Consider the following 15,825-nt stretch of genomic DNA (forward strand, 5'->3'; position numbering starts at 1 on the left):
TGTTTCTCCTCACTGAGTTTCTTGGCTCATGAAATAGGAACTTCTACCAGTCATTCTGCCCTCTCAAAGAAATAAAGGGTGATTCTTCCATGCTCTACACCCCTTACCCAACTCTTTCCATAGTACACAAAAGTGATTTCCATATATCCTCTGAAAGCTAGGCAGAGGCTCCCAAACCTCAACTCTTACCCTCTGTGTACCTGCAGCCCCAACACCATGTGGGGCTTCCACCCTGTGAAGCAACAGACCAAGCTGTACCTAGGCCACTTTTAGCCACAGCTGGAGCTGGAGTGGCTAGGATACAGAGTGCCATGTCCTGAGGCTGCAAAGATCAGCGGGGGCCCTGCACCTGGTGCACAAAACTATGTTTCCCTCTTAGGCCTCCAGGCCTGTGATGGAAGGGGCTGCTGTGAAGGTCTCTGAAATGCCCTGCAGGCATTTCCCCACTGTCTCGGTTATTAACATTTGGCTCCTCTGTACTTATGCAAATTTCCGCAGCCTTGAATTCCTCTTAAGAAAATGTATTTTTCGGTAGGCCGGGCACGGTGGCTCATGCCTGTAATAATCCCAGCACTTAGGGAGGCTGAGACGGGCGGATCACGAGGTCAGGAGATCGAGACCATCGTGGCTAACATGGTGAAACCCCGTCTCTACTAAAAATACAAAAATTTAGTTGGGCGTGGTGGCGGGCGCCTGTAGTCCCAGCTACTCGGGAGGCTGAGGCAGGAGAATGGCATGAACCTGGGAGGCGGAGCTTGCAGTGAGCCGAGATCGGCCACTGCACTCCAGGCTGGGTGACAGAGAGAGACTCTGTCTCAAACAAAAAAAAAAAAAAAAGAAAATGTGTTTTTCTTTTCTACCACGTGGTCAGGCTGAAAATTTTGCAAGCTTTTATGCTCTGCTTCCCTTTTAAATATAAGTTCCAGTTTCAGATCCTCTCTTTGTGCACATATATGAGCATATGCTGTTAGAAGCAGCCAGGCCACATCTTGAATGCTTTGCTGCTTAGAAATGTCTTCCACCAGAAAGACAGTGTGGCGATTCCTCAAGGATCTAGAACTAGAAATACCATTTGACCCAGCAATCCCATTACTGGGTATATACCCAAAGGATTACAAATCATGCTACTATAAAGACACATGTACATGTATGTTTATTGCAGCACTACTCATAATAGCAAAGACTTGGATCCAACCCAAATGTCCATCAATGATAGACTGGATGAAGAAAATGTGGCACATATACACCATGGAATACTACACAGCCATAAAAAGGATGAGTTCATGTCCTTTGCAGGGACATGGATGAAACTGGAAACCATCATTCTCAGCAAACTATCACAAGGACAGAAAACCAAACACTGTGTGTTCTCATTCATAGGTGAGAATTGAACAATGAGAACACCTGGACACAGGGCGGGGAACATCACACACCAGGGCCTGTTGGGGGTTGGGGGCTGGGGGAGGGATAGCATTGGGAGAAATACCTAATGTAAATGACGAGTTGTTTTGGGGGACACCAACATGGCACATGTATACCTATGTATCAAACCTGCACGTTGTGCACATATGCCCTAGAACTTAAAGTATACTTTAAAAAAAGAAAAGAAAAGAAATGTCTTCCACTGGATACCCTAAATCATCTCACTCAAGTTCAAAGTTCCACAGATCCCTAGAGCAGGGGCACAATGCTGCCAGTCTGTTTGCTAAAGCACAGTAAGTGTGACCTTTGCTCCAGTTCCTAATAAGTTCCTCGTCTCCATCTGATACTTCCTCAGCCTGGACTTCACTGTTCATATCACTAACAGCGTTTTGGTCACAACCATTCAACAAGTCTCTAGGAAGTTCCAAACTTTCCTTCATCTTTCTGTCGTCTTCTGAGACCTCCAAACTGTTCCAAATCTGCCTGTTAACCAGTTTTAAAGCTGCTTCAACATTTTCAGGTGTCTTTATAGCCATGCCCCACTTCTCTAGTACCAATTTTCTGTATTAGTCCATTCTCACACTGCTATAAAGATGCACCTGAGACTGGGTCATTTATAAAGAAAGAGGTTTAGTTGGCTCATGGTTCCACAGGCTGTATAGGAAGCATGGCTGGGGAGGTCTCAGGAAACTTACAATCATGGCAAAAGTCAAAGGTGAAGCCAGCACATCTTACATGGTTGGAGTAGGAGGAAAAGAGACAGAGTGAGGGGAGAAATGCTATGCAGTTTTAAACAACCAGATCTGTGAGAACTCACTCACTGTCATGAGAACAGCAAGGGGGAAATCTACCCCCATGATTCAATTACCTCCCACCAGGTCTCTTCCCAAATATTGGGAATTACTACTTGACATGAGATTTGGGTGAGGATGCACAGCCAAAATTGATCACCTATAGATATAAATGAGAATAAAATAGGGAAATAAAGATACAGGTGTCTGAAAGGAATGACTTAGGCAATGACTGAGATGCACTTCCCATGGGAGAAGGGAGCAGAAAGAGGATGCTCAAGTGTGAGGACAGGTGTCGCTGAGCAGGTGAAAGCAGTGGGACCTCAGTCCACTCATGGACAGAGACCATTGCCCAATCTCTCCACTCAGATATGTCACTGCTGTGTCTTATAGAATGGGTATAGTAAAGGGGGTAGAGTGTGGAAGAAGCACCCTTTACTTCTTTGAGAGGGCAGAAGAATTGACAGACGTTCCTATTTCATGGACCAAGGAACTCACTGGGGAGAAACATTTCTCTCTACTGATAAAATTCTGATTGGACTACTTAGAACTTCCTTATTTGTTTATGTCTCCCCACCATGACTGATCTCCTGGATTAACCTGCCTACTCAAAGTATGGGTGTCAGACCAGGGCATCAGCGTCATTTGAAGCTTGTTAAAAATGCAGAATCCTAGACCTACCTCAGACTTAGTGTTTTAGTTTGTTTTGTGCTGTTATAATGGAATACCTGAGACTGGGTAATTGTTAAAGAACTAAGATTTATTTCTTACAAGTCTGGAGGCTGAGAAGACCAAGATTGAGGAGCCAACATCTCACAAGGGCCTTTATGCTGCAGCATTCCATGACAGAAGGCAGAAGGGCAACAGAGGGTGAGAGAGAAAGCAAGAGATCATACTTGCAGCCTCAAGCCCTTTTATAACCAGCATTAGTCAATCCATGAAGGTAGACTCTTCATGACCTAAGCACCTCCCATTAGTCCTGTCCTCCCAACACTGTTGAGTTGGGGAATAAGTTTCCAACACAGGCTTTTTGGGGGACACATTCAAGCCATAACACCTAGTAAATCAGAATCTGAATTTTAGTCAGATCCCCAGGTGAGTTCTATGCATATTATAGTTTGAGCAGTGTTCTCTAGGATATTCTCAGACCAAGTCAATTTTCTTGGCATATACTGCTTAATTTGTTCCATCAGTGAGATTCCTCTAGACTGCTACTGTCCAAAAGGGAAGCCAGTAGCCACTTATTGCTATTAAACATTTGAGATGTCCCATCAGTGTAAAACATATACTGAATTTCAAAGACTTAATAAACAAAAGCAAATGTAAAATATATTATTTTTTATATTAATTACATTTTGAAATAATACTTTAGAGATATTGGGTTAAATAAAATATATTATTAATATTAATGTCATCTATTTGTTTTTACTTTTTTATCATGGCTTCTAGAAATTTAAAAATTATATATGTGTCCTCCATTTGTGGCTCAAATTATATCTTTACTGGCCAGCACTGCTCTAGATCCCGGACTCTGCCTCCTCCTCTGAAATTGTATGACTCATACACCTGTCTCCATAGTAATTAACTTCCTGGCTGGAATCCCATGATATTCACCCCTTGATATGACTAATAATCCCTTGGTCTGACAAGCCTTCTAGTCCTGGTCATCCCCATCAGGTTGTTAATGCTCTGGCAAAATGCAAATTTTTTTCTTAGTTTAGGTTTTGCTGTGGTCTGAAAACGCCCTATAAATAAAAGAACAGAGACCAGGGGTCTAGTTCAGACTAAGCCTTTAACGTTTTACATTCTCTATGACCTTGGCCACGGTATTTTACCTCTCAGTATCTCTTCCTCCAACCTAACCCTGTTATCTGAAAAGTGAGAGGTTTGAACTAGATAATCTTTATGATTCTAGAAATTCCTAACACAAGCAATCGTTTATTCTCAGTTATAATTTATGCTCATTTACTATCACTCCAATTAGATTGTAAACTTCTTGAAGGCAGGCATTTTATCTTATAATTCTACCTCTAACTACTTCTGCTACGACTGACCTTCAGGGTTTTCAACAATTGTCTTTGATGATGACTTTTGTGCTGAAAAACAAAGCACTTATTCAGCTAATCTAAGCTTTAGAAAAAACTTGAGGTCCTATAAACAGACATAATCCACAAGCAGTTGCATTTTGAGGTAAATCATGCCTGCCTCCTTGTGTGTGCACATTTGTTTTTGAAAATTTGACCATCTGACTGTAACCTGAGGAATCTTGGTTAAACATTTCTTTATGCAAAACAAAGAATGTTGAGTAGTTAAATATTTTACCTCTGAGGCTAAAATTGGGTTATTTTTTGTTTCCTCCCCTCTGAATATTTAAGGTGGAAAACCAAGTGTTAATGTTCAAATGATTTCCAGAGACAAAAATCCCATCATCTATGAAAGTATAGTGGTTACCTTTGGATGGTTAATTAATTCAGCAAACATGGATTACACACCTTCTATTGTAACTGAATGAGTCAGCAATCTTTGCTGAGAATCTTCTAAATATGGAGAGCCCTTAGGTAATACAGAGGAAATTGAAGACCAGTCCTTCTTCTCAAGCATCTTACAACCTCGTTGAGGAAAACCGAACACATAAATTGAAGAGAACTAAATGGATATTTGCACAATACAATAGTAAAGAATGAATATTTGTTGAGCTCCTGCTATATGCAAAGTGCACAGCAGATACTAATAGGAACAAGGCTAACATATGCACTCTCAACCTAAGTTCGGGTGCTAAAGATTCAAAGGGAGATCAGATTAGCTGGATACTCAAAGGGTTAAGGAATTGTTTGAAAAAGTAGGAAGCCAGGAGAAGGCAACTGTGCTGCTGGCAGCAGGGCAGATCTAAGGACCTTCAGGTAGCAGTGCAGTTCAATCCTTTGCCCAGAGAAACTGGAAAAGATAGGAAACCCCAGAAAGGGAGTTCAATCATCTGAAGTCCACCTGTGGCCCTGTGGTTTGAAGACCACCTGTGGAGAATCACTTGGTAATCTTGTTGTAAATGCAGACTTCTCTAGCCTACTCCAGGGCCATCACATCAGAACCTTTGAGGGTGAGCTCCAAAAATCTGCACTTTGAATACACTGTAGGTGATTCTTATGCACACAGAAGTTCCCAAACCACACATTTAATGAGAACAAGGGTATCAGATTGATTCTGACCCAAGCTTGAGGCCTGTCTTTTTTCCTTCTTCTTTTTTTCTTTTGAGACAGGGTCTTACTCTATCACTCAGGCTAGAGTGCAGCAGTGCCATCAGCTCACTGCAGTGTCAACCTCCTGGGCTCAAGTGATCATCCTGCCTCAGCCTCCCAAAATGCTGGGATTACAGGCATGCACCACCATGCCTGGCCAAAACCAGGCCTGTCTTCACAAACTTAATGATCAATTGTCCCCCTCCTTCTGTACAACCTCTCTAAGCTGCAGTGTCCCTATCCATCAAATGGAAAAAATAAATACTACTTACCTATAGTCTCGTTGTGAGGATCAAATGATGAACAACCTAAGATGCTTAGATGTAGTGTGCACTCAATAAGTGCAATAAAAACTATAATAAGCTCAAAAAGAATTCATTAAACAGGTGAACAGGTAAAGGAGATGTGATGACAAAATGAGACAGAAGAAAATTCTGAAAGGGCAGAGTTAGAAGTCCAAGCAGGAGGCTGGTGCTCTCAGATTGTGTTTCCAATGATAACCTCCAGTTACCGACACAATGTCTATGTGCCAGGTTACATTCACATTGACTCAAATGACCCTTAAAGCCACCCTGTGAAGTAGGAATTTAATAGGACGTTAGCTAAAGATTGGCAAGGTTAAGCCTCTTGAGCAAAGCAACCCAGCTAGTAAGACATACAACACACATTAGGGAGTAATTTGTGTTACCATCAAATGGCAATAATCCAACTGTGAAGCACCCAGCATGCCTTTCTCTGGACGGAGATGAGCCAGGCCAACACCAAGCAAGCTCTGCAATAGAGCCACATTCTGAGACTAAAGAGTACACAAAGGTATCAGGGCTCAGGAATGTGGGGTCAACAGTAGAGCCGTATTACACAGTCTGCCAAGAACTTTCCTTATCGCCCAAACTATTGTTAGTACCCATAGAGATGGGGAAATAGCAGACATTTATTTCCTGCCACATTTCTAAAAGTGATGAAATTTAAACCACTGTCCTGTTACTCTTCAGTCATGATTTGCTATTAGTATTAAGTGAAAATGCCACATTTCACGGTATTTTTGATACAGGTGGGTAGGGTTCAAAATCCAAATACAGAAACAAGAGCTCTGAAAGGATCACAGTCTGCCTAGGAAGGAGATTATAATGGACACTTGTGTTGCCTAGCCAGCATCCATTCCCCCATCTTCTGTACTAACACCCTTCTTTTCATTTGGGTACCACTTCCCTCACCTAAATTCTCCTGGTTTTGGTTCGAACTGGTTCAATCAAGAGCTGATCTGAAAGGTTGCATTGCAATATCAGGAAAGAAAAGGTTTTCTTCTGCTGCGATTGGATTTGTCAGGGAATAGCCAGTTTGGCCAAGCCCACCTCATGGAGGAAGTTGGAAGTTTGCACCGCTGGATCCACACATGCCAAAAGTTCCACCCCTAGACATTTCAGGTCTGTGGGCCAATGATTTCTTTTCTCTAAGTCTGATTAAATAAGAAGTTTTATAATTTGGGAAAAATAATCCTGACATTGAGAGCTACACGTAACTCAAAGGCTATCAATTTTGTCACCAATTTACACTTAAAGTGAACTGATTGTGTGAATATAGTGCACGGGTAGGAAGAGAATGGTGTGAAAAAAGGAAGATTGGTCCTTAGTCCATGTTCTAGGATAATGATATTGAGGAGAGAAAGAACTCAAGTAAACGAACAAACAAAACAAAATGAAGCTACAAGCAACATGAGTGAGAGGCATCAAAAGAAAAAGAGTGGGGAACATGCAACACCACTCTCTGAAAAATAGAAAAAAAATTAAATATGAAAACAGAGGCTTTGCAAATACATGTGTCCCTGCTCTAAGGTAGCAGGGAGAGAGTGTTAGAAGGGGCCAAATTTTTTTTAAAAGGCAAGGAGACTAGAATGGAATAAGACAAGGACAAAGCATTTCTATGTGGGGCATATTTGGGACAACATTCAGCAGGAGGAGGCATTGAAGTCTAGGATCTTCCCTTAAAATTTAAATTAAGCAGTTAATTTAGTCTGTTGCTTAGTGGACAAACTTAGAGAAATCTGTCTGAATTTATCATCAGCAAATATCCTATTTTCACATGTGGTAGAGGGGAATTGGGAAAATCACCCGCACAAAATTCATAATGCTAGAATGCATTCATAACCAAGACACCATGCTGACAGACAAAAGCAAAAACAATTTCAGCATATAATTTCATTTAAATACAAAAAAAACTCCCTAAATAATCTCAGGCAAATAAATAAATTATGTCCTCATAGATGGATTTAATTCCATGTGACTCAGTAGTATTTGCTTTTAATTTTTTTCATGAGCAGCAATTAATAGGATATATAATTCCATGTATCTCTTCAGGTGCCACACAATCAAATAAAAATAGATTAAATGGAGGGAAAGCAAGAACCGAAAGCCACTTATTTGGTAATTTGGGGCTGGGCGTGGTGGCTCATGCCTGTAATCTCCGCACTTTGGGAGGCCACGAGGGGAGGGTCTCTTGAGTCCAGGAGTTCAAGACTAGCCTGGGCAACATAGTGAGACCCCAACTCTACAAAAAACAAAATTAAAAATTGAAAAAAACAATTTAAAACGGTAATTCATTCCAACCAGAAATCTGATTCAAGGCCTAACTATAGCTAGATGGCATGAAATGCCTCATTTTGATCTCAAGGACAAGGACTTAATTACAATAGAAAATACAATGAAAAGATGTTAAAATTTAAGAGACTATATAAACTTAAAGGTCAGATAACTAGGATGAAAAATGGAAAAACACATTAATACTGTGGTGAAATTGTATTCTATCCCTTTCAAATACTTCAACTCCAGATATATTTGCTGTTTAAACTTAGGAGTGACTCCAAGATGCAGCAGAAGTTAATGTACCGTAATTCTAAGTAATTGTATTAATTACAACCACATGAAAATTAATAATTGGGCTTCAATATGGAGGCATCTGATGGCTAAAGTTGGGATAGACTACAAATATTTTCTTCTCTGGTGATTTCTTCTGCTCACTGATTCCTTGCATTTTATTTGTGCCGCTTAGATCCCTGTACACATTGTATTACGGTTGACTGTTTACATAGCCAGATGTATCCCCAGACTGTCAACTTTTTCAGAGCAAGAACCACTTCTTGCTGATTATCCTACATCTAAGTTTTTTCCACAGGGACTTCCATCTTAGTAGAGTTAAGGGGAGAGACAGGGGCTATCAAAAAGATTAGTACTGTTCTTCAATAGCAATAATATAAATGCCTTAAAAACTCAGGGGTCATAAAAGTCATATAGTGTTGGGTCCAACTTCTGGCTTCTCTACTCACTGGCTAAGGTATCTTGGATCAGTCACTTAATTCCTCACACTGTATCGTTCTCTCTAAAATTGGGATAAAGGTGATACCTACACTTAAAAGTTGTTAAAGAGACTTTGCGAGATGAATTTGGAAGCACCCTATATATCATAAAGGGTTTACAATTTGGCATTATGATAATTTACTATTATTCTATCCATAGGATAATGACTAGAGTTTAAGTATATCACTCTTCGGTCTTCCTCTCGGTAAATGCATTTCACTCTAGTACTCTAGTTTATTGTTATTTGGCTTAGTTGCAGTCCTGTGTGAACCAACGAAAAACTACTCCAGGTGTGAAGACGGCTCCTAGGTACTGTATTGCACAGGCCATAACCTGGACACTGATGTTCTAGACAGCTTAATAAAGACAGTCATTTGGTAATACAATTGGAATGTGTTAGTATGATTTTGCTTTGTAAAGTTTCCTCATACTTGACAGAAAAAAAAAAAAAACTGCCCCAAGAAAAAAAGTAAAGGGAGGAGGGAAGCAAAAACCTAATATTTGAGACCCTACTGTGTGCCAGGCACCCAAGAAAAGAAACAGAATCTAGACCAGCACAACTTTCTCAGCCCAAGGGTCAGTGCCAGAGGCATGGCAGAACCTTCCCAAGGTCAAGGCCAGGTTACAGAAACTGGCCTCTTTTTAATGTTTACATTTAACAAAGCAATGCCTTTAACAAGAAAAAAAATCCAGTGCACTATAATGTACTAGCCATAAGATAATTATTTTTAATATCAACTCAAGGGCATCCTGGGCATGTCGTGTGATAATAGGACACACACAGAAAGGTGCGTGATGAATCACTCCTACTTTCCCGGTAACTGTAGTTACAAGCTCACTTGGAGATAAAGTCAAAGGCTTACTTTGTGAGCATGAGGTTTGATCCTGCAATGCCCAAGCCTCACCCCTGGGATGGGTCTGGTTCAAAGCAGGGCGTTTTGATCTAACACTTTAATGCAGCCATTTGATGTTAAACCACCTTGTAAACATGTAAAATCTCCATGTTTTCAAAAACATGAAAATGATATCCCTTACTAGTGTTGGATTCAGGTCTTGTAGGACCTAAGTTTTGTATCTGATTTTTTTTAAAAAAGGATAAATTAGGTATGAAAGCAAGTATTTATTTAAAATGAGAAAAAACAACAAATTTTTTTTAAAGTTGCAAAAGCACAAACATCAACAAAAGAACAGTTTTTTAATGAACTGCCTAGCATACCTCGGAAGAATTTTTTCTACATTTCTTGACTATATTTCTTGATTATCTTCCCTGATAATCCCTTCATATGTCATTGTGTTTGTAAGATCAATCCTTAAAAGAGAAACAAAATTCTCTTTCTTCTAGGATCATTGATCAAAATCTATTTTTGATTACTAATAGTTTAGAAAAGTTGCTCTTAGCATTATAATTTTTATGGGCAATGCATATATTAATAAATTCTTAGGATGTTGTCAAATTTGAGGAAACTTCTATCAGGTTTTTCATATATGAACTGTAAGATTTCAGCACATCTCAAGTTTTCTTTATGCAGGGAAAACCCTTAAATACTCTTTGAATGAACAAAACTGAGTAACTAGTCAATGTACTTCTTATAAGTTTTATGTTATTGTTGCTGTCAGCATTTTAAGTCAGACATGTAAATATTTTTCTAATACATTCATGTAATTGACATGTTGGGATGAATAAAATATGTAACTTCACAAAGATCGTTTGTAGTACTGCTACATATGTGTGTCCTATAAACATAATAATTCTGATAAATTTGCTCTTGAGAGATTTCCAAAATATCTCTAAATATATTGAATACTTATTTTTTTTTTTGAGATGGATTCTCACCTTGTTGCCCAGGCTGGAGTGCAGTGGCATAATCTTTGCTCACTGCAACCTCTGCCTCCCAGGTTCAAGTGATTCTCCTGCCTCAGCCTCCCTAGTAAGTGGGATTACAGGCATGCACCACCACACCCGGCTAATTTTTTGTATTTTTAGTAGAGACAGGGTTTCATCGTGTTGGCCAGGCTGGTCTCAAACTCCTGACCTAAGGCAGTCCACCTGCCTCGGCCTCCCAAAGTGCTGGGATTACAGGTATGAGCCACCGTGACCGGCCTATCAAATACATTTTTAAGCATCTTCCTGGAAGCAGAGAACTTGTTTTGATGAGCACTGAATGATTCTGTTAAAATTGTACATGCCTGATGATTGGAAAAATCTTACACACACTAGCTTCTGGCTTTGTATATTTCAAACCGTATTTCTTCTCCATCACCCACAGACTTCCAGTGCTTGGAGCCATTGCTCGAGCACGTGCCCACAGGCAAGCTCCAGCTCCACACCTTTGTTTCATAATGTTGGCAAGTCGGAGCAACGGATGGTAGGAGTGGACCTGGGAGTAATTTCTACACCGAAACAGCTGGCTAAATAGCTCTACCTGGATCTGACTGCAAACAGTAGATGCTCTGACCTGAACCTAAATGGATCCTCCACTGAGCTGTCCTGTACCCCACTCTCCAAAATGCCTGTGGCAACCCAGTGCCACTCCAGAGCAGGCGAGAGTGGAAAGAACAGCCTTCATTAGCTGAAGTTAAAATATTTTATTTTTACACATTTTACAGAAGTAAGGGACTATATGGACATATGACTGGAGCCCTCCTAGGACTCCTAAAAGAGCCTATGCAAGTGAGAGGCCCTGAAGCTTCTGCGTCAGCAATTCACAATCAATTTGCTTTGGTTCCTGACTTTTATTCCATCCCTAACCACAAACTTGATCATGGAGAATGTTCCTGTTTTAAAATCTCACTTCTGGATTATTTGAATATAGAAAGTATGTTATTCTGTATGAATATATTCTAATTTTAAAATCAGAAAAACAGCACAAGCTTTTAAAGTATATTAGAGTTGATTGGGTTAGACTATAAGGCTGATCACCTGTTTCCCCAAAAACTCCATTTTGAAGGAGTTTAACAATAAATTAGATGCTTAAATATAAAGGGCTACTGAGGAAACTGTTAGAAATTGAACTGTTTTCTATGAAATCTGGAGAATATGAGATCCTATTGTGCTGCAAATATCCTCCTCCTACTACCACCTCCACCTTGCCCAGTGGATAACCTGTAACCACTCAAAGAGGCTCATAGAATCAAGCTGTCAACTTAAAACAGGGGTGTTCATCCTACAGATTTTTCAAATGAAAAAAACAGAATGGGTATCTCCATTAAATGAACACATCTATGTATTAACTAAAAGAAAATGACAGTAACAATGATCATTTCAGACAGAAATCTGAGACACTGAGGTACATGTGATACAAGTGAATTCGCTGAAAACAAGCAGCCTCCTGACTTAGAATGATGGGTGGCTCCGTCTGAGATGTGCAAGTGTGGTAAAAATGTGATTCCTCTTTCCACGTAGTTTGCCAGCCTTTTGAGCCCTCATTTCCATACCCTCCCTCCCCGCGCCTTGTCATTGGCCCATCCCTTATTTCATCTCAGCCCTAATCCCTACCCTGGGGAGCATAGTTGGAGATGGGGTGAAGTTCAAAGATGGGATAAATCTGAGTCACAATGTATTCATAATTAAAATAGATACATTTTTAGAGTTTGCTTTTTAGACTATGTCAAACTATTTTCCACCAAAACCAAATGGCCACATCCAAACAGCAAAAGCCCTAGTGAATTAACTGCATTATGAAGCAAAAATCATAGAAGATTATATAAATATTTTTTAAATTCTTCAGGAATAAATTTATCCCTGTATTGCATAATATTTTCTGGGTGGAACACAATAACACATTTCTATAACTCCATCATGTCTCTTATTGTTCCTTAGCAGCTTATTTTATTTGTCTCAACAGCTATTTTCAATAGAACTGCATTTTAAGGAACTTAAAAAGCATACTCTCTCCTTCCATTCTGATGTCAGATTGTACAATAAAGCAGCCCACTGTGACTATCGGGACGTAAATTTTACCTTTTAGGGAAGAGGAGTATTGAAAAATGCCAGGGGAGCATCTCCTGGTGGGAGAAAGCTAAAGAAATCCCTGTTTGTTCCAAGACAGGTGGCTAGGCATTCATATATCATACATACTTTCTTCGGGGACCATTTTGCTGAGTCAGCAGAGTGAAATCTGGTGAAATAGATCCACAAATCTCCCACTGGCATCCATTTCCTTCATCTAACCTTTATTGCAAGTAGATGTCTCCAAGACTAGGCATTCATCCATTCTTTCATCCGTCAAAAAATGATGACTTTCTGTGTGTTAGGAAACGAAGATATTTCAGTGAACGAAGCAGGCATGGCTGTTGCCTTCATGGAACTAACAGTTGAGCAGGAAAGCTGGAAAATAAACAAAATATTCCTCAAATAACTAATTCATCATAGAAGATTTCCCCCAGTTGTCAGGAGTGCTGAGTTTGACCGTGTGAGGTTGGGGGAGAAAGATGGTTGCCAAGCGCTTCAAATTCGTACTCTTTCACTATGAAACCAGAGGCAAAGCTGTTTCTACTCTAGTCCCCAAAATTGTAAGGCAGGAGGGCCCTTGATAACCCGGAAGGCTTGGATCACCATCCGCACCCCTAAGAGACCTGATCATATGCCCACCCGGTAGGTTGGGGGTCAGGAAAATATGTTCCAGAGGAGTAGAGATGAGGAAATTTGCTGATCAGACCAAAACAAACAAACAAAAACTCTACCCCTATATTCACATATGTATAGGCCATAAGTATCTGTGGCTTATTTTAAAATCAAGCAGAAAGCCGGTGCAATGTTTAAGCAAGGAAGTGATTGATCAGATTTATTTAAATCGCCCTGGCTGCATTGTGGACAATGGCATGGATATAAACTAAGATTAGAGGCAATGAGAACAGTTAGAAGATTATTTCAGACCAGCGAAGATGGTACCTTGGTGATGGCTTTGATGATAAAAACAGAGTCAAGAGCTATTTAGTAGATGAAATATCAACAGGTGGTTGACTATGAAAGGATAATGAAAAGGGAGAGATCAAGACAAACGGATTTCCAAGTTGAGCGACATATTCAGCAATTCTTAACCTAGCCGTACCTTAAACTCACGTGGAGATCTTCACAACAGAAATTCTGATTTAATTGGTTCAGCAGGTGGTCCAGGAGCAGGTATGTTTCAAAGCCCTCAGATGTTTCAAATGTGTACTCAGGTTAGAGAGTCCCTCTAAATGAGACAATCGTTCCAAGGTAGATAACACTGGACAGGGAGGAAGTTTCAGAGAAAATGCCATGCATTCCATCCTGTATGGATTTTTTTCAGAGAGGCTTGTAACTCTTCCAAGTGAGATATCAAGTTAAGAGTTGAATTACATATCCGGGTGTTAGAGGAAAGATCTAAATTGAAGACAGGTGAAAGTGATTGACATTCCTATTGTAATAGAAGTCATGGTTGAAGAGGCAATGGCCAAGGAAAAGAGTATAGTGAGAAAATAAAAGGGCCCTGAAAAACCTCTTATTAAAGATAGAGGATAATGAGTCAGCAAAAGAGACTGTGAAGGAATGTTGGTAAGTTAGAAGGAAACCAGGAAAATAGGCGTTGCCAAAGTCAATGCAAGAGAATGTTTCACGAAGAGAGTGCATAAGTGGGCTGAAAGCTGTGTTTAATTTTGACAAGTCCTGGAACTCCATCCTTCTCCCAACTGTCTAACCTCTGGGTTGATTTTAGGCTCTCCCCGTGATAAGGCTCTACTTTGCCAAAATAACCATTAGCAGAGAATTATGATTTAAAAGTCAAATTGTGGGAAACTCCAAAGCCCATTTTTTGAAGATTTGGAAAATAATTACAATCTCATTTCAGATACTAGACACAAAAGATAGCATTCTATGTTCACATGCAGTCACGATTTCTAGCACTTTCTTATATTATGTTCACCTGTTTGTGGGCTTGCAATTGGCAAGGATTGCAACTCTTTCAGTGTTTGCTAGCATTCTCTCTGTTGCCAAGCAGACACAGGGCAGAACGAATACAGAGTGATCTTTCAGGACTTGTCTTCTCTTCGGGCTCTTACTGTAACATATACAGATTTTTGTTACTGTCACAGTATCCATGTCATTTTATTTCTTTCATGTGTGTCCTCTTATGCTTTCCATGAGAGCAGGTAATATTATTAGATGAGCTTTTATCTCTGGGGCCTGTCACAGTGCCTAGCACTGTGAACTGAATACGTGTTTGCTGAATGAATGGAAAGTTGCATAATTTTTCTGTGAACTCATGAACAGCCAATCTGCAAATTCCATCTCTAAGTACTCTTTCATCGTAGACTGTAAAATATTGTTTAAATAAAGGATGTGGTTTACCCATGTTTAAATTTTAGGTCCATTTTCTATGGAGTTAGTAAAATCTCATTCCAATACAAATTGTTTAATCCCTTGGTGCCGGGGGTTTTCTGCCTGTAAAATAAGAATGGCAATGCTGATTTCCCCTGGCACTGCAGTGAAGACTGTAGAACTCAGAACTCTACTTGTCTGTAAGAGGTACTCGGGTTTGACAACCAGTTGATCACCATTTTTTCTTATTCTATCTGAGTATATGTTGGTTCAGGCACTGTGAGGGGCAACAGATAAGTTCTCTGGATCTATTTACAGCTGCTCCTGGAGCAGTTGCTAAAGGCTGGGTCATGTTGATTGTGTTTGTTTTTGTTTTTGTTGTTTGTTTGTTTGCTACGGGAGTGATTTTTCTAGAGTTCTCCAGCCCCTTTTGGGCTGGACAATAGGAAGTAGGGCAGACCTAGGCCAGCTACAGCAAATGTAGTCAATACTGGTTTTAAGGTCCATCAGACTTGGATAAGTTGTTCAGAGCTAATCTCCCCTCTAGTTCAATTCTGCTATCCAGTTGATGTAAGGGTCTCTTGGTAGAAAACATGTAAAAGAAGTGAGAGATTACCTTATCCAAGGGCAAACTTTCTGACTACAATTTAAATAATAAAATGTATCAACTCACTAGATGCATTGATTGATTGCCAGGCTCCTGAAGTGCCTTACCACATTGTCTCATTTTATATTCATGCAGGTATTGT

At 40.0% G+C, this 15,825-nt stretch overlaps 1 long non-coding RNA gene across 10 annotated transcripts in view, besides 1 other annotated feature; it reads right to left on the minus strand.

Moving 5' to 3' along the window:
- LINC02331 (long intergenic non-protein coding RNA 2331) overlaps positions 1-13,979 on the minus strand; it is a 165,830-nt gene extending 151,851 nt beyond the window's left edge. For 6 of the 10 annotated variants that reach the window (NR_184221.1, NR_184218.1, NR_184212.1 and 3 more), the window contains exons 1-2: positions 13,848-13,979; positions 12,968-13,123 (exon numbers count right to left, since the gene is read on the minus strand). This is a non-coding gene — a long non-coding RNA (long intergenic non-protein coding RNA 2331). Of the gene's footprint in view, positions 1-12,874; positions 13,124-13,847 lie in introns of all 10 variants that reach the window. The other 4 variants (NR_184214.1, NR_184219.1, NR_184215.1 and 1 more) reach the window with 1 other exon arrangement.
- Positions 13,238-14,437: an enhancer, noted in NCBI's record as "MED14-independent group 3 enhancer chr14:54316803-54318002 (GRCh37/hg19 assembly coordinates)". NCBI's record gives its function as "activates an origin of replication core promoter dependent on BRD2, BRD4, P300/CBP and CDK7 cofactors, and independent of MED14, by STARR-seq in HCT116 cells {active_cell/tissue: HCT116}" and the evidence as "EXISTENCE:reporter gene assay evidence [ECO:0000049][PMID:35650434]".

Source organism: Homo sapiens, chromosome 14 (genome assembly GCF_000001405.40).
Source record: "Homo sapiens chromosome 14, GRCh38.p14 Primary Assembly".
Lineage (NCBI taxonomy): Eukaryota > Metazoa > Chordata > Mammalia > Primates > Hominidae > Homo > Homo sapiens.